Source organism: Homo sapiens, chromosome 6 (genome assembly GCF_000001405.40).
Source record: "Homo sapiens chromosome 6, GRCh38.p14 Primary Assembly".
In the NCBI taxonomy this organism is placed as follows: domain Eukaryota; kingdom Metazoa; phylum Chordata; class Mammalia; order Primates; family Hominidae; genus Homo; species Homo sapiens.
Genome location: NC_000006.12, coordinates 147336189 through 147362232, shown reverse-complemented (window position 1 = coordinate 147362232; position 26044 = coordinate 147336189). Strand labels below are relative to the sequence as shown.

At 33.2% G+C, this 26044-nt stretch overlaps 1 protein-coding gene across 15 annotated transcripts in view, besides 3 other annotated features; it reads right to left on the bottom strand.

Moving 5' to 3' along the window:
* Positions 1-26044, bottom strand: part of STXBP5 (syntaxin binding protein 5) — a 186057-nt gene that overhangs the window by 28241 nt on the left and 131772 nt on the right. For 6 of the 15 annotated variants that reach the window (XR_007059202.1, XR_007059201.1, XM_047418197.1 and 3 more), the window contains 4 exons: positions 22995-23054; positions 22849-22896; positions 8860-8910; positions 2910-3149 (listed from right to left, as the gene is read on the bottom strand). Coding sequence is in view for 12 of the 15 variants with exons in the window: in XM_047418197.1 (XP_047274153.1) it covers positions 2910-3149; positions 8860-8910; positions 22849-22896; positions 22995-23054 (399 nt within the window). In the remaining 3 variants the exon portion in view is untranslated. Of the gene's footprint in view, positions 1-2909; positions 3150-8859; positions 8911-10337; positions 10401-22848; positions 22897-22994; positions 23055-26044 lie in introns of those variants that run through there. The other 9 variants (XR_007059203.1, XM_047418198.1, NM_001394409.1 and 6 more) reach the window with 4 other exon arrangements.
* Positions 7134-7334: a silencer, noted in NCBI's record as "peak6200 fragment used in MPRA reporter construct". NCBI's record gives its function as "represses an SCP1 promoter by STARR-seq MPRAs in K562 erythroleukemia cells {active_cell/tissue: K562}" and the evidence as "EXISTENCE:reporter gene assay evidence [ECO:0000049][PMID:32103011]".
* Positions 11214-11414: a silencer, noted in NCBI's record as "peak6199 fragment used in MPRA reporter construct". NCBI's record gives its function as "represses an SCP1 promoter by STARR-seq MPRAs in K562 erythroleukemia cells {active_cell/tissue: K562}" and the evidence as "EXISTENCE:reporter gene assay evidence [ECO:0000049][PMID:32103011]".
* Positions 17474-17674: a silencer, noted in NCBI's record as "peak6197 fragment used in MPRA reporter construct". NCBI's record gives its function as "represses an SCP1 promoter by STARR-seq MPRAs in K562 erythroleukemia cells {active_cell/tissue: K562}" and the evidence as "EXISTENCE:reporter gene assay evidence [ECO:0000049][PMID:32103011]".

The window sequence follows — 26044 nt, the reverse complement described above, 5'->3', positions numbered from 1 at the left end:
ATTTTAGAAGAAAAAATATTCTTTCCTTTCCTCTCTGCATTTATGTTTTATCAATAGTAAGGTTGCAGCCTTCTATTGAGCACATATTTCAATTTGAATTTCAGATAAACAATGAATACTTTTTAGTATAAGTATGTCCCAAAAGCTACATATCTGTCCAATGCGACACACTTATATTAAAGTATTTGTTATATCAATTAAAATTTGACTGGGCATCCTATATTTTTATTTACTAAATCTAGTAACCCTACTCTACATCCAAGTTTGGTGAGCAGATAATTTCACTATTTTAAGCAGCTTTGTAGAAAACTTCGAAACACAAGACAGTTATAATCTTACAGTTTTAATTATTATTTCAAACATATTATAAAGCTAGCTTTTCTTTCAAGATCTCTTATTTTTTATTCTGGTCCACCCAAAGAGTCCTTCCGCCTTTAAAGTTTTGATGAGGTCAGCTGAATTATCCATGCTAATTTGGGAACTGTTTATAGCACATATATTGTTCTAGTATGTAGATTTTTTAAAAAACTGGCCTAAAATAACCGTTAAATGTATGCTTGTCCTATAGTTGATGGGACTTTAGCATGTTTCCTAGTAGATTCGTGGTTAACTGTTGAATCTTCCTCTTGAAGAAAAGAAAAAATAACAGCAGACAAAGTAGACCACTTTAGGCTCTGAAGCACAGAAACCCATCAGCCTGAAAACATCTCTTTCTTCTCAGGGCTCCAATACCGATGACATGAGTGTCACTGATATATTTTTAAATAGGCATCTTATTAAAAACAAACCTCAAGGATTCCATCATTGAGAAGAAACTAAGTTTCTTTCTTACATATGAAAGTTATTTTTGTATTCACTTTACAGCTAATTTGATTTATTGCAAGTTGGAAAGTATACTAAATACTTTTTGTGTAGTTAACAGTAAATTATCTATATTTAATCCCGCTCAGTCATTTTCATTTATTGGAAACATTTTTTTCTTATTACAAATTGGTGTATGTTTGCTGTAGAAAATTTAGAAACTACAAATCAGTAAAAAAATGAAAATAAAAGTAACCCCAAATCCTACTTACCAGTGATAACTCCTGTTAACATTTTGATTTTCAACTTTCCAGTTTATTTTATTCCTATACACATATTTACTAATAAGAACTGAGATTAGTAAGAATATCATTATGTAACCTGTTTTCCTTAATCTAACAACTTGATGTGCAGTATATACTCAAGCACTTATAGAGCAAAATGAGTAAATTAAACTGATTATTTAATGTAAAGATGGCTCAGAAATATAATCATAAATGCAGTTTAACTTCTAAATTCCAAAAACTGTAAAAGTCGGCACAAACAAGAGATAGATTTACAAGCAAAATCATGGTTGTTTCTATCTGGATGGGCATAAATGAGTAGTAACAGAAATCAGAATTCTCAGTTATCTCCTCACCTAACAGACTCCACAAACATTTGACAAAATCCAATCTCATTTTCAAAATATGAAGTCTAGTACTATTTTTTAAAATTTGCTCTCAAGTCACCTTTTCCTAACACTTCAAAGTAGAAAAATAATCTCAGGTTTCACACTTGGAGATGAAAAATAACCATGTGTAGAATGTTTAAAAATGCACTTTTCTGTTTTTCTCCTAAATTTATAGCATTCTTTTGCTTGAGGTATTAGGAATGCATTATTGTAACTTTTAAAAAAAATTTTCTTACATAGTAATTATTTTACACAAGATCCCAAAGTTTAAAAAAAAATGGCAAAATTGAATGGCTGTATAAACAAACAACATCCTGAAATCTTGCTCTATGTATTCTTTCATTAAAACATAAGGCCATTTGTGTTGGTTCCAAGTCTTTGCTATTGTGAATAGTGCCGCTATAAACATACATGTGCATGTGTCTTTATAGCAGCATGATTTATAGTCCTTTGGGTATATACCCAGTAATGGGATGGCTGGGTCAAATGGTATTTCTAGTTCTAGATCCCTGAGGAATCGCCACACTGACTTCCACAATGGTTGAACTAGTTTACAGTCCCACCAACAGTGTAAAAGTGTTCCTATTTCTCCACATCCTCTCCAGCACCTGTTGTTTCCTGACTTTTTAATGACTGCCATTCTAACTGGTGTGAGATGATATCTCATTGTGGTTTTGATTTCCATTTCTCTGATGGCCAGTGATGGCGAGCATTTTTTCATGTGTTTTTTGGCTGCATAAATGTCTTCCTTTGAGAAGTGTCTGTTGATGTCCTTTGCCCACTTTTTGATGGGGTTGTTTGTTTTTTTCTTGTAAATTTGTTTGAGTTCATTGTAGATTCTGGGTATTAGCCCTTTGTCAGATGAGTAGGTTGCTGGAACCAACCCAAATGTCCAACAATGATAGACTGGATTAAGAAAATGTGGCACATATACACCATGGAATACTATGCAGCCATAAAAAATGATGAGTTCATGTCCTTTGTAGGGACATGGATGAAATTGGAAATCATCATTCTCTGTAAACTATCGCAAGAACAAAAAACCAAACACCACATATTCTCACTCATAGGTGGGAACTGAACAATGAGAACACATGGACACGGGAAGGGGAACATCACACTCTAGGAACTGTTGTGGGGTGGGGGGAGGGGGGAGGGATAGCATTGGGAGATATACCTAATGCTAGATGACGAGTTAGTGGGTGCAGAGCATCAGCATGTCATATGTATACATATGTAACTAACCTGCACATTGTGCACATGTACCCTAAAACTTAAAGTATAATAATTAAAAAAATAAATAAATAAGGCCATCACTGTCCCCATTTACTTTACATTTTGGAATTCTTAGATCAATTCAAGAATGAAAAACAAAGGCTTCTATCATAGTAAATCACACCTGTAATGTAACTCTAAGTGCAGCAGCAATACATACCACTTGGAGACACAATTACTGGCTGAAGAAGTCTTTGCTCTCCCCCTGGGGGAAGGTTCAGTGCAATGACAAGCACTGTTCCTAGCGTTGTTCCAACCCATAGACAAGGGGAAGGGGACGAGTCCGTCTTTCGAGTAAACGTTTCACAGAAATGAAGAGCGGAGATCGCTTCTCGGGATTCTTTGTCAATGCTTGTTACACTTGAACTCCGTGATCGGCTAAAGGAGTTATCCTTTACATCTGAAATGGTTAAAAATGTTGTGAGATTGCTCAAGTTATAAAAGAAGTTATTTGTGTTGTTTTTTAATATAAATTTGGTCAAATAGTTAATCTGCAAGAAGACAAAACCTACGTCATATTTAATATTCACTTCATTTTAGTTGATCCTTGAACAACATGGGTTTGAACTACACAAGTCCACTTACACATGGATTTTCCTCCACCTCTGCTACCCCTGAGACAGCAAGACCAACCCCTCCCTCTTTCTCTTTCTCTTCAGTCTACTCTATGGAAAAACCACCTTTGGGATGATCCACTTCCACTTAAGGAATAGTAAATACGTTTTCTCTTCCTTATGATTTTCTTAATAACATTCTTTTCTCTAGCCTACTTTATTACATGAATACAGTATATAACACATCTAACATACAAAATATGTGTTAATCTACTGTTTATGTTACTGGTAAGGCTTTCAGTCAACAGTAGGCTTTTAGAAGTTAAGTTTTTGGAGATCAAAAATTATATGCAGAGGAGTTGCTGTCCTTAACACCTGCATTGTTTAAAGGTCAAGTACAATTGAAAACAAAAACAATTTACTTTTATGCTAATAAATTTTCCCTTTTTCTTAATATACAAACAAACAACTCCACACTCCTCAGAACTGAACCGGGTGCCTCCCGATGAATATCTGAATGTGCAATCCTTGGGGTCCTGGCTGCTTAGCCCTTGGCACCTTCTTTCTCATGGTACTGTGCCTTCCTTTGGTAATACAATCCATGACTGGTAGAGTGTGACAAATGTGAGTCTTTTCCATTTTCTACCTTTAAAAAATGCATTTAGAAGTACTCTGATACTACCTTCTAATTTACTGTATGATGGATCTTTTTTTTTTTCAGATTTGCCCAAATAAAAACCTTTAATCAATAAAAGTTTAGCTTTTTCCCCACTTTTCTTCAATGCCATTTTAACTGCAATCCACATTCACTTAAGGCATTTTCACCAAAATGTACAACTGCCATCTGGCTCACACTTGATACCAGGCAAATTCCTTTACCCAGCTCTGTCTGTAATGACAGGCGCATTTAAAAAATTATACTAATAAAATGTCTCTCATCTTCAGCTACCTTCCCTTGTTGCTAATCCCAAGCTTGTCTCAAGCCCTAGCCTTTTCCTTTTTCTCTTGGAACATCATTTCCAAATACTTCTTTGACTTTTTTCCAGTTATGTCTCACTATGCAAAACCAAACCATATAATTTCCCCCAAACCAGTAAATTCTTCGAATGGCACTATTTATATTAATGACACTTCTGTTCTCATAGGGAGAAACACTTAAGATGAGCCACAGTTTGGGTTTCTCCTTTTCATTTGACCTATACATCTGATGGCATGCCAAGCCCTAAGGTATTTTATTGCACATTTTTGTTTCCTTCCTTCCATTGGTAATCTACTTCCATTATCCTAAGTTCGGGTTCTCCTCACCATTTACTTAGACAATTCCCAGCTGATCTCCTCACCCGCAGCATCTCACTACTAACACAACATAATTAAATTTTATAAGGCATAGTTATAATTCTGTGGCCTCAATCTAAAAAATCCTTAGTAGCTCCTTTTTAATCATGCTTATAATCTTACTCAAGTTTTTAAGACTCTTCACAAAATATCTTTAATCTACCCTCCTGGCCTTATCTCCCAAAGCTACCCTATTTCAGTTCATTGTGAGAAATAAATAGAGCCACACAATTTTCTCCAAACATAACCTGCACTTACCTACTTTTAGGCTTTTGCTTGAGGTATTCTGATTGGTGCCTTTGCATCAGCCTTTTCTCCTACCTATCAAGATTCTGCTTATTTTCCACTTCAGTTACTGTCAACTTCCTGAAGTTTCTCCTGATTCCTACAACCTATATAGTTTCTCTCCCTCTTGACTACATACCTATAGCCATGTATCTCTCCCATGACACTTAGAGTACATTTGTTCTGTAGTTATTTCTGACTTTTCTCATGCCTCACTCTAAAGTGACTGCAAGTATCTTGAAAGCAAGGACTGTGTCGTTTTGATATCCTTTGGAATTTCGCACACTGTCTTGCATGTGAAAGGAATTCAATAAACACTTGCTGAAGGCAGATTTATAGTTGAGAATGTCTAAACCAACGCTTCTGCTGTTCCATTAGGATTTATTAAAATTCTCAGTAGCTTCTACTACTTACATCTAATAACTCCCTAAATCACATGCTTTCAATGCTATTGTGAAAGAAAGGACTCTTCAAAATGTGAAAACTATAAAACATGTTAAATTCTAAGTTGTACTTTATTAAATAAAAAAGGTATAGCCAAATCTTAATTACACCTTACAAGAAGTTTTTTGCAATCAAATTTAGATTCATAGATTAAAAATATCCCCAATAACTATATGCAACATAACTTTGATTATAGGTAGCCTCTGAAAACAATGTTATTAGTTATGATAATACTATGGATCATTTTTTTAAACTGTAGTTTCTAAAAATGTCTTTCTTTTGCTTGAGATTGCATTTCCATAATTTACAAATTATGATACGGTAGAAAAGAACTACTTACTATAAATGAAACAACTTTCCATAATCAACACCTCAATACAGTTTGAAATGATATTAATTACAAATATTTATTAACTCTTTATGGTTTCCAAAGTTATTTTAGCAAAATACATTTTTAAAATTTTACAATGATAAATACACTTGTTACTTGTAAAGCATACATATACAAGGCAAATGAACATTTTCAGTTGTGATGTAGTGATAGTAATAGAAAACAATGATATGAAAAAAGTAGATAATATAGATTTCATTGTAAATTAACCTGTAGAAAAACTCTTACTGATAACTATTAAAATTACAAGAGGTGATTCACAACAACCTATATTTTAAATGTTAACTCATAGGTCAAATGAGCAATGTTTGAATTTAATAGACTAATACTATATAAAATGCACAACCTAAAATTGCATTTTTATTACATAATTTATCTATAAAAATTAGATTACCAAAGCAACTTCTAAAGCTAGATCAAAATGGAAGAACTGCCTGAATAACAGTCAAGTTTGAAACTGATAGAAATAGGTTGCTTATTTTATTATCTGCCTAGACTTTTGAAAAAAAGTCAGAATTTTCAGCAATTCATGAATTACAACTTCCACTTACTCCTTTTAAGTTAAGCATTATGGGTCTCTGTGGGCTTATTTATACAAGTTTGGCAAAGTAAATAAATGGAATAAAAGTTTAATTTTAGTAGCTCTAGTAATAAGAGCAGAAGTGAAAATAACTAACACTAAGCAAGGCCTACCATGTGCCAGGCACTAATACTTTACATTTATCATTTTATTGAATCTACATAACTACCTTGAAAAGTAGTATCATCACAATTTAACAAACAATTAAACAGAGGCTCAGAGAGATTAAGTGACTTGCTCAGAATGACCAAGCTAGTATGTGGTAGAGTCAGAATTTGTGTCTGTCTCCAAGTCTAAAACTTTCTGTTAGGCAACTCCAGACAGCCATATCATCACTATCATACAGCTGGAACGCTATGGTTATTATTGAGAATTAAAGTTCTAGTTTAGATGTCAGAAATGTGCTTGAATATGTGATCTTTTTAGCTGATCTAAACTCAGACAAAATTTGTCATTAATGCCTCCATCCAGCTGCACCTGATACAATCATGCCATAAAATCACTGTTTTCATGCTACTGTCTGTATACTTACAACATGCTACTTGTATGTATCACTTTCTCCTCCCCACAGAGAGCCTTATTCAACAAACTTTTATATTCCCAAATCAAAACATAATGCCAAGATTTGAATCTGTTCAGGTAAAAATCAGGGTAAGAAACTAATTCATATCAAAGTATATAATGGTTCTGATGTTTGCCTCCTATGGCTGACATTTGAAATGTGACAATCATAAGTGTAACAAAATCACCCATGGATTCTGACTTCTGGGTTACAGAATCCAGGATGGTGAAGCTATAGTGCAAGTACAGTGCTGCACAATTTCCCCATAAGCAAAAATGAATTCTATGCACAGAAGCTTCTGGAGCTGCACAACAGCTCATTGGCCTCAGTGCTTTACCAACATCTGGCAGTTTGAACCTATCAATATAGTTGGAGTTATTCCCCATTGCCTCCCTGACCAATGTAAATTAGCAGCCAAGAATCTCTACCAAGTAACAGTTCAACAACAAAATAACTTGAGGGACATTACTTAGGCAACACAGGAATGTTACAGGTATACATTAGTCAAAGTTATAATTGGCTTAGGGCATACATGGGCATGCTAGCTAAACCATGAAGTGAATAATCTATGAAAGCATGGAGTACATACTTTAATTAAATTACTTACATGATTTGTAAATGTGAGTATGCCTTAAAAAATAATTGGCTATGGTATTTTTTATAATTTTAAAAGTATATTTACATGTGTTTACCCAGATTTTTAAGAAACTAAAATACACAAAGCCACTTTAACTAGTAATATTTAATGCTATTGAAATCCTGGGCCTCTGAGAGTCTGATGAAAACTCTGGATTCTGCTATAGGGGAAAAATGCACACTGTGTGCCTCAGATATACTTGTTTTCAAATTATACCTGTTTTTTTTTTTTGGTGGAGAAAACTATGACCTTCTCAAAATGTCTACTATCCTATATTCTATGATTAACTCTTGTTCCCTTATACTAGGGATATTATAGGGTTCTACTAAGTTGTTTTTCCTATGAATGAAACTTTCTACAAATGACAGTGGAATATATTGTATGCCTACTCACTCATAACCACATGCTTTCTATCAGCATAACTGAAGTAAGATAATGATTTGGAAATGCTAAAATTAGTATGTTTAAATGGACCAACACCTAAGTTTGTATGATGCATAGCAAACATAGTCAAGAAATCTAGAGAATAAACAGTGGTGAGGGGTGTGGGCTAATGCAAGGGAGAAAACCTAGTTATCTCTAAGATAGAGGTGGGTGAAATCATCCTTACACAATCATACCTATTTAGTTAAAGGCAACAGAAATTTCTTAAATAAAAAATGAGTTTAAAAAGATACCATGTTTTATATGTATTACATGAAATCTTACTTTTATCTTTTTTGAAATGTCATTTGTCCCTATGTGATATCAAGGTGCTGTTCGTGGGTTAGATATAAAGCAAAATGAATGTGTGAATATATTCATCCTGCTTTCATAATAAATGAATTGCACAGAAAGTGCTGTGGAAGAAATATTTCCCAACTTATTATAATCAAAAAGTTAGTAACGATGATTCTTGCTATGATTCACTGTAATACAGAAAAAAGTTAATCTATTTTAAATTTTAAGTATTTCATTAGTATAAAAATAATTTTATAAAGTTCAAAATAGGTTTTCACATGGTTAAATGGGATACAACCACTTTTAATAAAAATTAATCTAAAATTGCACAAATTCAATCTTATGCTAAGTTCTGTTCAGACAAACTATGAGAGGGCTAAGAAAATATATTCTTGCGGTTTGCTTGAATTTGTATTATAATTGTCATTTTAAATTTACAGATAGCATTCTAAAGACTATTCCAAAGAATGTTTAAACCTTAAGCATCTTAGTCATTTTAAACTTGCTTTCCAATGACTATCTTACAGTAACTATAAATTTTCTGATTTCCTTGTCTTCCCATTATAGGGAGTTAAATTATTTTGAATATTTATTTTACTTACCTAAATCAGGCTTTAGGTCAGTAGGTAAGCTTAACTTCCTTGACATCTTTGCTGAAAAATAAAAGACATTTTTAAAATTCTGAAGAATATTTGATTCATACTAATATCAACTGATTTTCAAGATAGAAGTGAATACTTTTATTACTAAATCTAGATGCCGAGATAAATAAAAGATGAGTAATATTAGGAGTGGAAAGTAAATCCTTTCAACTTTTTATTTTCTAATTTTTTGAGACAGGGTCTCACTCAATCGCCCAGGCTGAGTGCAGTGGTGTGACCAAGGCTCACTGCAGCCTCAATCATCTGGGCTCAAGTGATCCTCCCACCTCAGCCTCCCAAGTAGCTGGAACTACAGGCATGTAACCACTGTGCCTGGCTATTCTGGATGTTTGTAGAGATGGGGTCTCACTATGTTACCCAGGCTGGTCTCAAACTCCTGCCTTGGCCTCCCAAAGTGCTGGGATTACATGCGTGAGCCACCATGCCTGGCCAACTTTTTAAAAGTTTTTACTTACTTGATGTAATATCTTTTTGTACTTAAAATTTTTACTTTAAGGGAGCCTTTTAAATTCTAACTTTTAATTATTTCTTAGGCTCACAGGAAAGGGTGAGGCTTTTCTGAGTGAGAAACAGTAACTTCTCAGAAGAAAGGTGTTGCAGATAAAGAGAATAGAGGCCTAAGACTAAGTTTGGGTATGTGATATAAAATCTTTCCAGCTCATCATCTTCATAGCTACTGGGTTCATTCTTCTTTTTTTTAAATTGAGGCGAATTCTCACTCTGTTGCCAGGCTGAAATGCAGTGGTGTGATCTCGGTTCACTGCAGCCTCCGCCTCTCAGGGTCAAGGGATTCTCCCGCCTCAGCCTCCTGAGTAGTTGGGATTACACGTGCAAGCCACCACTGCCAGCTAATTTTTGTATTCTTAGTGGAGATGGGGTTTCACTCCTGACCTCAAGTGATCCACTCGCTTCGGCCTCCCGAAGTGCTGGGATTACAGGAGTGACCCACCGTGCCTGGCTGGGTTCATTACTTTTTAATTTCTAGCTTATAGGCCAAACTTATATCTAATCAAATTTAAGTATTTGATTACATTATACAATATCTGACTCAACCACTCCTTGATATAAGTTAACTCTTCTATTTACATTTTAGTGAAAAACAAAATAAGATCATGCATAATCTAAAACTACGGTATTTACATAAGATGCAAACCACAGTCATTTTTCTGTAATCTTGGAAAAAGAATGAATGTATAAACTTACTGGAATCCACTTTCCATCCTCAAAATCAGTTATTGTCTTAATCTAGAAAGTGATTTAAAGTTAGGCGTTGTTCAACTATATCTATTATGTTAGTGGTAGTGCATGCGTAAAAGAAAAGTGCTTCCTATGTGAAATTTTCAAAAAGCATTTGTTAATACAGGAATGAATATATTAGGTTAAATTTTGGACTGTTAGGAGATATTTAAAGCACAGACCCTGCTAGTCCATAAGGGCGCCATGTAAACAAAGAGAAATCCAGTCATACATGACTTCCACATCTAAAAAAATGACAAATCCAGTGTTAGGAAAGAGGCATTAGGCAGACTGGGAAGGAATGGGGGTTGGAAGGGACATCAAATTTTCACTTCTCAGCTTCATTAACTTAATTAGTATCCTTTAGCAAACAAGAATGGGTTAAATTTATAAAAGTCACCCCATTTTCACCAACGTAAAAAATTTCAGTTAAAAAAGAAAATGCAATACAAAACTGAAATGGCCAAATAACATCTGCAGTTAGTTGATGTCACATACATGGTTGTTCTTGTGCTTGAAATCCAATACCCTTAAAATTAGAAAATATTGTATCTCTAAAACAGTCCTCCAAAAGGCAACATTACACATTGAAAAATCCAGAGATTTTCATCACATATCATAGGTGCAATATACCTAGACTGATAAGTAGTATCTATACAATGTGCATGATATCAGATGTAGAAAATAAATTTGGCACAGTCTAAAGGTAACTCTTTTAGATAAAAATCATATGATATGGATGCCGCCTCTCTAGACATCACTACTCTGATTTGATAAGTTATTTTAAATCCTTTGCTTCTCAAACTTGAATGTGCACACCAGTCACATGGAGATCTTGTTAAAATCCACACCCTGATTCTGTCCTCTGGGGCTAGGGCTTAAGAGACATTTCCAATGAGCTCCCAGGAGCTGCTGATGCTGCTGGTCTGTGGACCACACTTTTGAGTAGCAAGGTCCTTAGACATTAAGCAACTTCATGGTAGTAACCAAGACAAAACTATTAATCCCAGTACGTCTATATAATTAGGCCCACCAAAAACATTTTGTGAACAAGCCTCAATAAACGTGGAAGAATAAGTATAGTGGTTAGGACAGGGTTTGGAATCAGCTGAAACCTAGGTTCAAACCCACTTTAACTAACTACTACATGTGTAACCTTAGTAATCACTTTGCCTCTCTAAACTTCAAGTTTCATCATTTGTCATATGAGGATAGATAGCTGAGAGGATTATGTAAGATGACATAAGCAAAGAACTGAGCATAATACCTGGCACATAGTATGATTTAATAAATGTTATTATTTATTGTTAATAATAAGGTGAGATATAAACTTGTCATAAAATGTAAAACACTATACAGATGAGCTACTACTATACTTGCGAATAACCTAATGTTCCTTCATTCTAATTCTATGGCAAAATTCTAAGAAACTAAAACAAAACCATAAAAAAAATTTAGCACAAAAGTATAGAATGCAATGCACCACTATAATAAGCTCAACCTTTTAAGTTCATTTCAAAAACTAAATATATATGGCTAAACAAAGAGTAATAACTTCAGTGATTTATAAGATAAAAGTAACAAATTCATCTCTGAATACATTAAACGTTAAATACATATTTTAATCAATTAGGAACGTTTATTTAACATATTTATGCTTTCATTCACCATCTATACATACATTGCTGCCAAAAAATTTACCAGCAGAAAATTTCCTTCTGAATTTTCTAGGTGCATGCTTTTGATCTTCCTTAGGATTTCTACTAAAAAATTTTTATATAAGCTCAAGTATTCTTAAAAATTTAAGTTAACCTCTCCCATAGAATAAAAGTTTTTTTCTAGTACTATTTTAAATTTATTATGTAAAAAATACTAAATATAACTAACCAGCTTTCCAAATAATTCTCAGTTAGTCTAGTTTCAACATTTTTATTGAGAGGTTAAAATCACACACAAAATGACTGGAAAGATTGTTGAATACAGTAATTTTACTATAAATGTCATATAAATTTTAATATAGTCAATTTATTATTTTCTCCCAAAACAGTTTGCAAGTGGATATCCGCAACCTGGACACCAACTTTGACAGATACTTCAGCCATATTGCTATTATATTTGGATAAAATTTTAAGCAATCTCCTTGAATGCAGAACTTGAAATGACAACATTAGAAGATTAACTTTTGTTACTTGTGTTAATTCTAGCTATCAAGTAATATTTAAAAATACAGAGTTAAGGCCTTCCATGAGTACAGAAAAACCTGTTACATGTGGAGGTGTGAATATTCATTTATTAAATATCTACTGGGCATATGTCTGTAATGTGCCAGAGGGCAGGGATATACTTCTGGCCTCCCAGGAGCTCACATTAGATGAAACAACTCCAAAATGTAGTATGTACTACTCACAAAGGTAGGCACAAGGTGTCAACTGGAGTACATGGGATTTATACCCTATCTCAGTCTGGAACACTTATCTAAGACCATGGGATGTGGAGACAAAACCAGCGAGAGACTTTGTACATTTTCACGAAACAAGATGTTCCCCAAACATTTCTTTTTTGGTTAACAGTATATTTTCTTTTGATGTAAAACTTACATACACATGCAGAAATTTTAAAGTATATTCACTGAGTTTTGACAATATATACACCTCTGTAACTCAAACTGTTAGAACGAGCAAGATAAAGAACATTACCACTCACCCCAAAAAGGACATGCATGCTTCTTCCTAATCAATCCCTGTCCCATTTCCGGGAATAACCAAGGCTCTAATGCTTTTTAAGTACAGATCAGTTTTGCCTGTTCTACAACAATATACTGATGAAATCACAGTATCAACTCTTGTGTAAGGTGTCTTAAACTCAGGATGTTTTTTAGCTTCCTCCTGAAAATATTTTAAAGCTTGTATTTTTTTTTCAATGCACAGAATGAATGTAAATATGTATCCTCTTAATTAACAGATTCAGAGGGCTATATCAGATTATATTCTCTTACTGTATCTTATGTTATATATGCTTTTTTATCTTTGAGTTATTTTGAATTATGTGTTTTCATAGCAAATTTGGACAATAAAGAAACAGAAAAAAGGTCAGTATTAATGCCCATAGTCAGAAGCAACATTTTTGCATATTTCCTACCACTTTTAAAAGTCCACTTTTCTTTACATAGTTGAGATCAACTATATAAAGAAATCAGTATCCTGCTGCTTTTCACTATTAAAACAAGCATTTCTTAATGTCATTAACTGTCAGTATATTTTAATGGTTGCATATTTATATGAACACTTATGAATCAGTTAGGCATTTTCCAATTTTTCAGTATACACAGGAATAAAAATGTTGTACATAAATCTTTGCATATATTTTGGATTTCCTTAGGATAGAGTTTTATAGGAGGAAATTAATGCCAGTACTACTCCCCCAACTCCAAGGAGCTCTGAAGTGTGCTTTTAGTATTTTTTCAAAGGTATATTAAGTATAATACTACAAAAACTGTTTAGATGAAAACAAAGAAAAACATATGTAACTTTGGTAAAATGTCAAAGTTTTGCTCACAACTATATCCCCTCAAAACTTAAGAAGTTGGTCCATTTTGTTACTGTATTGAGTGCAGCTGAGAAATCTGAAATGTTAACTAGTTATCGCTTATCTACCTCTGAATCTTGTCTATTTTGCATGCATGCCTTTCACAGGGTGGGGACAGGGAGTAGGAGGAAGGAGGTGAGGGAGAGGGAGGGAGGGAGGGAAAGGATTTAAATCCTAGGATGTCTGTAATGGGTTTCTTTCCCTTGCATGAAGAGGCATCTATCTAAATGCTTGTAAGTGGCAGGCAGAAGAACTGTGCAGTATCTACCAAGGCTTTGTCTTGAGTGGCAATGTTGACTTGGGTTGTGATCACTTATCCTTACCTAATTCCTGCTGAAACTGAATGTCCATGTTTTTCTTTGATTTCATAGGTACTTTAGTGTAAAGCTGGGAAAACTTCAGAGAGCAATTGTTAACCAGATATAATGTCATTACTAACATTTAAACTAAAATTTTAAACTGTTTTTGTAAAAATAATTCATTCTTATTATAAAGAATTCAAATAATACAGAAAAGTATACATTAAAAACAATCACCCAACATCCTGCTAACCAGAAATAATCATTAAATTAATTGAACATCCATCTGATATCATCCTTTGTATAGAGATAGCCACTAATAAATATTTGCAGACACTTGTGATACTATATGCTTAAATACAATAAACATTTGCTTTTCCTTACATCTAACTAAAGTGAAGCTAAAGGAACTACTATATTTCAAACTTTTTTTTATTACAAGATGTATCTTTTCTTAAAAGCTCCAAGGACAGGAAAATACACTGTGTAAAACATTCAGAGGTTGAAATATTTCTGTAACTATTAGACAGTAAATATTGGCTCTCAGCTACGAAAGATCAGGAAAGTAGCCCTCTTTTCCTTTTATGATCAAACATTCCTTCTTCTTGATTTGTATTAGTTATATTATTTTCACATTTATAAGTTTTACAACTGGTATATTATAATCACAATTTGCACAAAGGTTTAGTGTAGCTTTTAAGTTTAAATGGATTTAAAGATCAACATCAGTCTTCCTACCATGGCTTTCCATCTCTTGGGTTATTTTGCTGTAGTACTTAATTGTGGAACTTTCATCATGAGGTAGTTCTTAAAAATGACTGCTGTATTCCTTGGCTTCTTTCATGGTTAGAAATGTCTGCCTATTGTCTTCATACTTGAAAACTGTTCACCTTCATCCTTGAAAACTCTTTACCTCTATTATTTATGTATTATTTCATTGATATCTACTTTGTGCTATTTTATTCCTTCTATTAACTTGGCGTTTAATTTGCCCTTCTTTTTCTAACTTAAGACAAAGACTTGAGATCATTGGTTTAAAACAGTTCCAATGCAAGCATTTAAAATATACAGTTCTCAGGACCTAGTTTGAATGTCCAGAGACTTCTAGAACTTCTTGGAGCAGTTCCTCCTCTCTAGCAAATATTCCAGTCATGCCAGCAACCCAGAATTCCACTCTCTGCCTCCTTAGGTTCTGATACTGCAGCTCCACTTGTGCTGCAACGGGAACGTGCTCTGTCGCAGAAAGCTGAGCAGAAAGGTGGGAGAAACGTGGGGCTCACCTCATGTATCTCCATTTTCTCAAGGATGACAGTCCTGGAAAGCCTGCTGTTCAATGCCTGGAAATACTAAGTTTGTATCTTTTGACCAATTTTTATAGTTGTTTTTAGTGGGTGGCTAAGTCCCAAACCTAAGGCCTAAAGTTGAACTTCTGGCTAAAAGTTTGTATTTTTTTTTTTGAGGAGACTCACCCTGTCACCCACACTGGAGTGAAGTGGTGCAATCTTGGCTCACTGCAACCTCCGCCGCCTGGGTTCGAGCAATTCTCCTGCCTCAGCCTCCTCAGTAGCTGGGATTACAGGCGCCCGCCACCATGCCTGGCTAATTTTTTTGTACTTTTATGAGGGACGGGGTTTACCATGTTGGCCAGGCTGGTCTCGAACTCTTGACCTCAAGTGATCCACCCACCTCGGCCTCCCAAAGTGCTAGGATTACAGGCATGAGCCACTGCGCCTGGCCGTGTATCTTTCAATTTTTATGACTTCTGGGGAATATACTCGCTTCAGGTCTGTTTAGCCAACCTCCTTGATGGCAAGACCACTACAAGAAGTAGACCCATCTCTGGAGAACCTCTAGTCAGTCGGTCCTCCTGGCTTGTACTCTGTACACTGGTATAACTTTGTGATGATGGGGTTGTAGACTTTGTCCAACAATTTTATGATGTTCATATTTCTAATTCTCAGGAGTCCCAGAATCACTTACGAAACTCATTTACCCAGCTAGCTCGTTTCACTGTACTTATCAAGAAACTTCTGTTCATGTCTTGAAGTTACTCATCTTCTATTGTGACCTTCAAACTGAAAGCATGCAATCTGGATGAGTTATTGAAAGACACATTGTTTCTGTTTTCTTCTTCCACTGTGTATTCTTCAACCCTTGCCTCTGACAGAAGGTTTCTTCAGTCTGAGGAAAACTAGTCTCAGAGAGTGTAGGCAGGTTGTTAAGGTGGGTCATTGCTCTCTTCTTATAAACCTGAATAAGGACATCAAACTGTCTGGTTGTATAAACAGTAAAGAGCTGCATTTGTTTAGTAGGAATAACGAAGTTATACCTGATCACAATAATTATGTCTGCAATGCAAATTTCAATACCAACAAAAGATGTATGATGTCCAAGAGAAGCAAATTAAACAGATGTTTTGTAATTTCCCTTTAGTTTTTCTACCCACTGTGTCCACATCTTTTTTCTAAACAAGCATTCTTGAAAGAAAAACAGAACTATAACTTCACTTTTTAGAATCTGAAATTTATAGTAAAAAATAACGTAAAGGTAAAAGGTAAAAAGAACTATGACTGATGAAGCTGTCATAAAAGCAAGTTGATTTTTGTTTATACCGAGAGTTTCAACAATTAGAATAAAATGACAATATTACTTTTGTCACCACAGGCAGAGATCCAACACTACTCTCTTGAAAGGGATAATGTTGGAATGTATTTGTGTTAAATAAAACAACTGAGATAGTAAAGGAATTAAAACTCAAGTTTGCAGGATATAGTAAGGAATCCAAGAAGAAAAGTGGAACCAAGAAGTAGAAACTCTCTTGTCATGTATCGTATGTATTTTAGTAGCCATTAGAACTAATAATACCAATGTCTATCTCCCATGCTAAAACATCCCAGGAGTTCAGAAACAGAATTTATCTTGTAAACGCTCTATATATGTCTGTTTCCAGCATTTAATGTGTGTTTAATAAACACAATGAATAAATAATTGCAATGAATAAATGAACCAAAACTGTCATTGGAATTTTACTTATATAGAATGATGAATTTCTTCACAAATGAAAAGAAATAAAGTGAAAAAGAGGGCAAATTAAATACAGACCTGTTAATCAAAAAGACGACTTCTGAAAATACCCATAGAATCTATATCTATTACCTGAAATAGAGGTAAATCTTTAAAGATATGAGTACTTGTCTAGTAAACACTTGACTATACCAAGTTCTTTTCATTCTTGAACTCCCAGAGCTTTTGTCTTCAATTTTTTTCCTGACCCATCTGCTTTCCAAGCATTCATAAAACTTAATGTCTAAATAACATCATAATTAAACTCTTTGCAACATCTCAAAGAGAATTCTGTACCGAATACAAGGTATTACATAAACCTAACACAGTGTTACGGAATGAATTGTATCCTTGCAAAATTCATATATAGAAGCCCTAAGCCCCAGTTCCTCTACTATACTAGGAGACAGGCCTTTAAAGAAGTGATTAAGTTAAAATGATGCCCTTAGGCTGAGCCCTAATCCAATTTGATTGGTTCTTATAAGAAGAAGAAATGTGGATACACAGATACCAGGGTTGTACTCTGCACAGAAACCCATGTGGGCATACAATGAGAATGCAGCTGTCTGCAAGCCAAGGAGAGAGGCATCAGAAGAAATCAAACCCACTGACACCTTGATCTTGGACTTCTAACCTCCCGAATTGTTTAAGCCTCCCAGTCTGTGGTATTTTGTGGTGGCTGTCCTAACAAACTAATAAAATAAGTAATGACAGAACATAAATTGCCACATTTATAGTTTTGTTCAAATAATAGTTGACAAAGGTTTATTTCAGTAATGTGACTAACTCAGACTAATTTTCTTTATGCTAGGAAGCAAACTACAGTTTATTTCTAGAAAGGTCATTGCATATCCTTTTAATGTAAAAAAAGACAGTTCAATAGAGGGATAAGTACACATACAGTAAGTACAGGAATATGAAACACAGACTTTCCAGCACATTTTATTAAGAAATTTGACAGAAAATACATTCAAAAATAAAATTTAAATTTAAATATACAATATGCCAATACTTTCCAATTTTTATTCATTCTAAAAAAGAAAAAGAATTTGTTAGTACTCAGACTCATATAATAATTTTGAAGTATCTGCCTATAAAATTTAGTTCTTGACCAATTAAGGGCAAGAAATAATTTTCTTTCAAAATAGAAAATATTAAAATCACCTGTAAAAATGGTATCACTGTACACTACTAATCATCCCTTTCAAACTGAGCATCTCCTTTCAATAGCCATCTTGTGGATTGAATATAAAAGCTAAATTCTACAAATTCAATAGCCACGTTTCAGGTTGAATACTGGGGAATGTAAAGTAGAAATACTAGCACTATTTTGAGTTTTACAATGAATAAAATAATTTGATAACTTAAAATACGACTTAATATACACTTTTTCATTCATATGGCAACAGATCTAAATGAACCTTTGTGAATTTATTTTTTAACTTGTAGATACAAAAGAATTGAGAAGACACACAAGAAAAAGCAATCACATAAGAAAGCAAAAGCAGATAGTTGAGTATGAAGTGTGAAACATGCTATACATAGTAAAACAAGACTCAAGAAGCCTGGATTCCAGTCCTAAGTCACTACCATGGGGCATTACTTTGGATGTGTCACTTAACTTCTCTGACATTCAATTTCTTTTCTTGAAAAATAAAGGTGTTAGAACTGCTTTAAAATTATGTGAGTTAATGAGTTAGTGATGTAGAATAAAACAACAAAGAGAAGACTTTAGTTATATTGGAACACTTTAAAAAAGGAATCACTGAGATTCATGTGTAAGAGAACTAATAAAAACAGCACTTGAAAGAACATTATTGTCATTTAAACTGAATTCAAAAATTATTCCAGTTTTTGCTAAGTAAGTTAACCCTTACCTAAATAATTATGTTAACTCAGAATTGGAGAGATAAAAGTAACCTTGGAAACATAATTTTCCCTCCATTAATAAATACCACATAAAGAATACCTGGTATAGTGTCTAGAATTTAGGAGGTGCCCAATAAATGAAGCTATTATTTCTACTTGTTTTCGGCAAAGCACTCATTTAAGTAACCATAATTTCGAGTCATTATTTTTTATCCTTGGTATTATTTTCCCCTCACAACTTCATGTAACCAGAAGGAATTTGGTAATCATTCCTTCCATAAGAAAATTAGTAATAAAACTGGATATAGGCCAGGTCACAGACTATGGGTTCCAGCTAGAAATCTACTTTTAGCATGAAACAAAACCATAATGAAATAGAATAATCTTTAGAAAAGGTTAATCATGTAGTTTCAAATTTATCAAACAATGCTAGCATGTAGGCTGTATTTTATTCATAAGGATATCATGAAAAATTTGATTCATACATTAACCAAGATATGCATTGTAGGACTATTTTATATAAATTAAAAATAACAAAAAGCTTTGTGAAACTCTATACTTTCAAATTTTTGTAAAACAAATAACAAGTAAATAAAAAATTGATAACCTATCTTATTTTCTAAGTGATTTATAGCAGTACAGAAAAACTATGGATTTTGAAAATGTTGGTAATCAAGATTTTACTAATAAAGATTTATAAGGTATACACAGGCAAAACAAATTACCATATGCATACATACTACATGCATGAAGCTTTCTTTGTGGATGCTGCAATTACATTATATTCTGTTATGTTTTTGCTGTCAAACTCACAAGACTAAAACTATTTTTTTATAGGCTGCTCTTCTTATGCAAGATCAAGGTCATTGTCAGGATCATTCATCTGATTTAGTTTTCAATCAGGAAATAAACTATGAAGCTAGGCTTTGGGTAGATGGGCTAGGGTACTCCAGAGTTTGCTCTAGCTATCCTTCCTTTGAGTCTAGTCTTTGAGGAAGGTAGACTTCCAGACACTATATTATACTTGAGTGATGGGTACCAAGATGGCATCCATGATCTGGCTCTAACACAGAACTTAATCTTTTTTTTCCAGATTATTGTGTAGATAGAACAGGGCCATAACCAAATTATCTGGTTATTAATCACACCATGAATTTGCTTTTGAATCCTTTAGTTTTCTGTAAATTGTATTAAGAGATAACATAGCACAGTGTTTAAGAGGACAGACCATGGAGTGGGGCTACCTGGGTGTAAATCCTGCTCTCATTTATTAGCTGTGTACCAACAAATACATTACTTATATTCAGTTTCCTTATCTGTAAAACAGGGAAACAGTAGTAACTAACCCGCTGGGATTATTGTGTGGATTGAGAAAAATTATTTATAAAAAGCTGGCACATGCCAGAAAAATTATAAGATAAAGGCTAAATACATTCAAAAAGCTTATCATTATAGTCTCAGCTACCTCAGCTGTACTGTCAGGCAGTTAAAAAAAAAAGGTAGGGTGGTTGATTTCCCATGCTTGGGTTAACCATTAAATTGTGACTGCCATCCTGTACCACCCACCCACAACACACCCACACACACCCACACACACAAACTGACACCAGCAGCAGTTACTCTCGAAGAACAGGTAAAACTCAGGGGCAAACTTTCAGGGCCAAGCTATTTACTCACCTTCCACACAAGGTGGCTCTTTTACTAGTGCAACCCTGGAGGTACTAATTCTTATGTTTTCCCAGCCACTGTATAACTACCTATAAGTTGAAGCTATAAATGCTTGTATATTGAGGAAGAAGAGGTGGTAAGTTCATGAGGTTCAGGATACTTCATAGCAGGTACCAGATCGGATGATACGGTGAGTTCAGAATGCTCAAGAAGTCCTAATACTTTTGACACCACAGCTTCATGCACAAAATACCAGTCTTGACAGGGAGGTCCTCAGAAGATCTATGAGTTTTTTTCCAATGTTTCATTGACATTTTATGTTTTTCAATAGCATATTTTATGCTAATTCTTATAACAAAACTAAATACTAATGTAGGGAGATAAACTAATGTGTTAGTTTTTCAAATGCAAAAAAACTTTACAGTCTAAAATGGGGCAGTCTCCCTTTGAAAGAAGAAAAAAAACGTGACACTAACTTTCCTTCTGTATACCCAAATCTTGTGATTTAAAAAAACACACTGAAAGGTTCAAACAAAGCCAAAGGATATAACAATGCTTCCTGAGGTTTAAAAATAATTATGCATAACTGTACTACCAAAATTTTGAAAAGCTGAATGAAGTTAACATAACATGCTTTCCCCAAAATATATAACTACAGAAACTGGAGTGACAAAAAGTAAAACTCACCAATAAGATAAAAATAAAGCAAGAATGTCATCAAAGAACTATCCTTCCAATAACATTATCAACACTGATAAATTTTCTAATGTAGTCTTTCAAATAGTCAAGCTCAAGTATTACATGTTACATATTCTATTTAAAACAAGAAAAAATGGGAAGGTAGTCAGTACATTTAATAAATAGAACCCCAGCACAAAATATAAGACAGAAAAATTGTTTTTAAAAATTTAATTATGTACAAAGTCCCTTTCATGCAAGGTAAAATCCCTAGGTAATTTAATTCTTAAAGTTGTTTAGTAAAATGTAAGTAGGAAAATCTTTTCTTTTTGCATAATATGACAACAAAAGAACCTCTAATGTACTATTAAGATAGAATACACAATAAATGAAATTGGTTAAAGACTATTGTGCCATAGTGCTAGTACATAATTACAGTGATTTAACTATTACCAAAAGAGTCACTAAAACCCCACAAATACAAAGATAAATAATTGATTCTCCATAAATGAAGAGCCCTTTGCCCAAGAATAAACCACCTTATTTAAAAAATGACAAGGGGCTAACAGTCAGCCACCGTTAATATGACTAAACAGGGTTCAATTTATAAAATACAGACAACATGGATGTTACTTCTAAGAATTTTTGAAAATTTAAGCATATCTAAAACATTATCAGTTGAGAAAAAGTAAAACTATTCCATCTGCCTAGAAATTCCTCTAATTTGACTGAATTCAAAGAATATGTGATAGAGGTTTTGGGAGGAAATAATACAATAACTGTATGATAAAAATTTAGAATTTAAATCAAAGATCAAATTTATCCTCTTTTTCTAAAAGTGTTTTTCAAGACTTTAAAAATCTTTGGAGAACATCTGAACTTTCGTGACCTTGAAACCCTAATTTGATTATGTCCTCAAAGTTTGATTATATATTTTGTTCCCTAATTTTAAACTTTGAGAACTTTGGACTGAGCAATTCATCTCAACATATATTCACAAAAACAATCACAAGAAGCAATGCATTTTTTACTTGCGGTGAGAGAGTAGGGGCAGTCCTAGAAAATTCCTATTTAACTTTGCCAAAGGCGGTACAGATTATAGACTAAAAGAGTCAATCTTTTAGAAAACCATTTCCTTGAAATACGGGGCCTTGAAAATATGAGAGAGACAGAATAAAGGTAGAAAAAACACAAATAAAACTATAAAGAAACCATTGCTTCAAAACTTCGGAGTATAAAATTGTGTTACTTACGGCATAAATTGAACCCTGCTTTATTTTAAAGTAAAGCAAAAATAAAATTAACAGAGAAATTCACACTGTAAGTCAGAGAAAGAACTGCAACCCAATTGAACTGATTTTTAATAATTATTGCCCCAATGAGTTTAGAAGAGACACAGCCCAAGAGATTATTTTTTTAGCATAGGAACAACAAATTTACACAAAAATGCAATGCACTGGATAATTCTGGTGTTGGGTTAGCACTGCATATAGCAAGGATTAGAAACAAAATAGAAATTTCTATTTCCTACCTATATCATTGGCTACCATCTTGGAAAACTTTCTGCTTTTGGTCTTCACTGAAAACAATATTTTGATATAAAATGTCAAAATCTAGTCAAAGTAAACTAAATAAATTAAACATAAAAGAAAATACTTTAAAATCAAGATACTATACCCTTTTCTATAAAATTATTCATTTTTTGTTCATCATCTGAATTGTGTGGTGATGAAGAACCTACACAAATGAAGACAACGGAAGGAATAGGTAGATGGTCAGTCATAAATACTGAGCTGTAACAAGAAAAATGTACAAATAAAAAATCTGGTAACTTTCAAAACAAGTTATCATGTTAGTGACCACAAGAAGAGGCCATGTATAAGTAAATAACAGTTCTTATACTATTACAGTATAGTAATAAGTAGTGCAATATCTTTCATGGTAGACCCTGGTATATATAAATATTAACTCTACAACAATTTGGCAAAATCTTGGTATATTAGATGTTAGAAAATATATTAAAAAAAACTATAAATAGTGTTTAACTGTTTCTTCGAAAAAATCTGGAATTCTTGATAGTATTAACTGAATAAGGTTTCTCTAGCAGAACCAAGATCTTGTACTATAAATTTGCTGGTAAAACTTGTTATTTTAGAGTTAGACTGACAGTTTAAAACTATATATTCATTCTACTACATATCATAGAAATCTTTAAAATGTACAATAAGGGATCTTTAAAATAGTGAAGATAATACTTATATTTGTAGATATGTTCAAATGTCTACCTAAATTTATGGAGGTAAGAAATATTTAATTTTATTTTGGCTGTGACTCCCAATATTATCATATAATCTTACCTAACATTTCTTTAAGATTTTTTGGGTAATTTTTTCCTTAAAAACTTCTAATTTCTCATAGTATTTCTTTAATTTATAACATATCTTTTATTATAAATGTGATCTCAAGTAGTATTTTGGTTGATCACGTTTGGACATCTCTTCTTTAAAGGCACATCTCAATACCTCATCCATTCAATTTTTCAGTCTCCTCAGCTATAAATCACTTCTCCTTTGAGTTCCCTTAATGTTTTATCTATATATTTCTCATATGATGCTAACCACTTAATACCTTATTATTTTAGATTTATGCACATATGACCTTCCTCACTGGAATGAACTTCCAAAAGGCAGGGCCCACATTTGATTCATTTTTGTATCCCTTTTGTGATTAGTGGAGTGCGTTACATGTAGAATTCTCTAAGTATCTGCTGAATTCATAAAGCTTTTCTGCCAGAGGCAAATACCTACGATGTAATTGGAAGTAGATAAAAGGTTTTCTTTCTCTGCTTTAAAAATATCCCAGTAAAAGCACTGAATCTTAATGAATCAGGTCAAAATTTGACACCACATATAACACTCTCCAATAAAATTGTACTTCTCTCCCTTGGTCAAGTGGTGAATGTCCTTGACAGCTTTTCTCTGACCGAGTAAAACCTGCCAGCATTGGCAGAACCATTACTTTTATAGTGGTCTTAGAAGGTTACTTTTTTAAAGTCCATGTTATTTCTGTTAAACATCATTTACAGATCCTCATAAATCCCACTTCAAAAAATATCACACACGTAACACTGAGCTCAGTAACATTTCCAGGAACAGAAATACATATAGTTGTTTTTAATGTAATTCTGAATTTAATTCTAAATAATGGTTATATGTTATATATATTTTAAAATATCACTATCTCTACAAAATAGCCACATGAATGTACAAAAATGTATTATTGATACTAATTTTGATATATTTCATATCAAAGAAATAGCAGGATAACATATCTATACATAATAAAATCAGAAAAATATTTCATATTTTCAAATACAAGAAGGCAACATAGGCTGTAATGTAAACAAAACAAGGAGGTTTATTTTTCTTCTAACTAAAAATACTTACTACTGATTGTTATAACTTCTGTGACAGCTCATGCAAAAGCTCCAAAATAGTTTTCTGCTTATCCTATTTGAATATATTTACTAAATTTCTACAATAAAACACAGATAATATCTACAGCTTATTGTTTTTTCATGATTTCATTTAAATCATGAATGCACTTGAAGGCACCATTTACATCATGGTATGTGTGGCCCTGGGTTTTCTTCAGCTTGAAATAACCTAACAGTTTAAAAATTTATTTTAACATGACTTCTTGTGTGTGTGTGTGTGTGTGTGTCTATGTATGTGTATATATATATATCTTTGCATGCAGTACTAAAAAAATTCCAATAATACTAAAGTGTTCAGTGAAGCAATATAAGTTCTTTGATGTAAGGATCAAATGAAAGTCTTTCCCTTCATTCGTTCAGGATGCATATGTTCAGTAGGCAGAATTAACTTTCTCTATTGGGGGACCACTGGTTTACATAAAAATAAATGAAAAGGGCAAACTATATGCATTACATGGATTTTTCTCATGATGATTTCTGAAGATAGCTTTGATTTTAATTAACTAAACAGTTGAGATCACAAATCTTGATTATGAGATTTAAAAGGTTTTCTAAAAAGTTTCCCTTCATATATGAATTATTTTAAATTAACTTACTGGTTTTGATAAAGGCATATGGCTACTTTATATTTCTATATTGGTCTTCCACTTAATATTTACAAGAGACTCATTTTAACTCCCAATCCACTTTATACATTTCTTCTTTTCCCATAAATACCAACTTATTTTATATTAGCTATATCGGTTTTAATAATCTATAATGCATCACTCAACTATTTTACCTCTTTATATCATTCTCATTGTGGAAACTATTTGAGGCTTGTAATTTAATTACTAATTTTTATGTTTTTTAAAACATGATCCCCTTGTGGTTCTTTTGATTCACTTCAAATTCATCCCATCTGTTATTCTTTTTTGACCACCGTGAAGTAGTAGAATTTGCATGTGTTGGCCAAAGGGGTAATAATAAATTATTTCTTTATTTTCCTATTAGAATGTTAACAGGAATGAAGGTTAAAAAACGTTACAAATATACAGAGTAAGACAATTAACCCATAATAGATGGCAAAAATTACTATTAACAATTTTTACATGGACAAGTTGAGAAAGACACACACAAGCTATAAAAATGCAGTGTCAAAATTATTTATATTAAAATAGTTTTCCAGAATCTCACTCTAGTTTCTACTGTAATGCTCTTACTAGTTGTGCATAACTGCTATCTCCTGCTA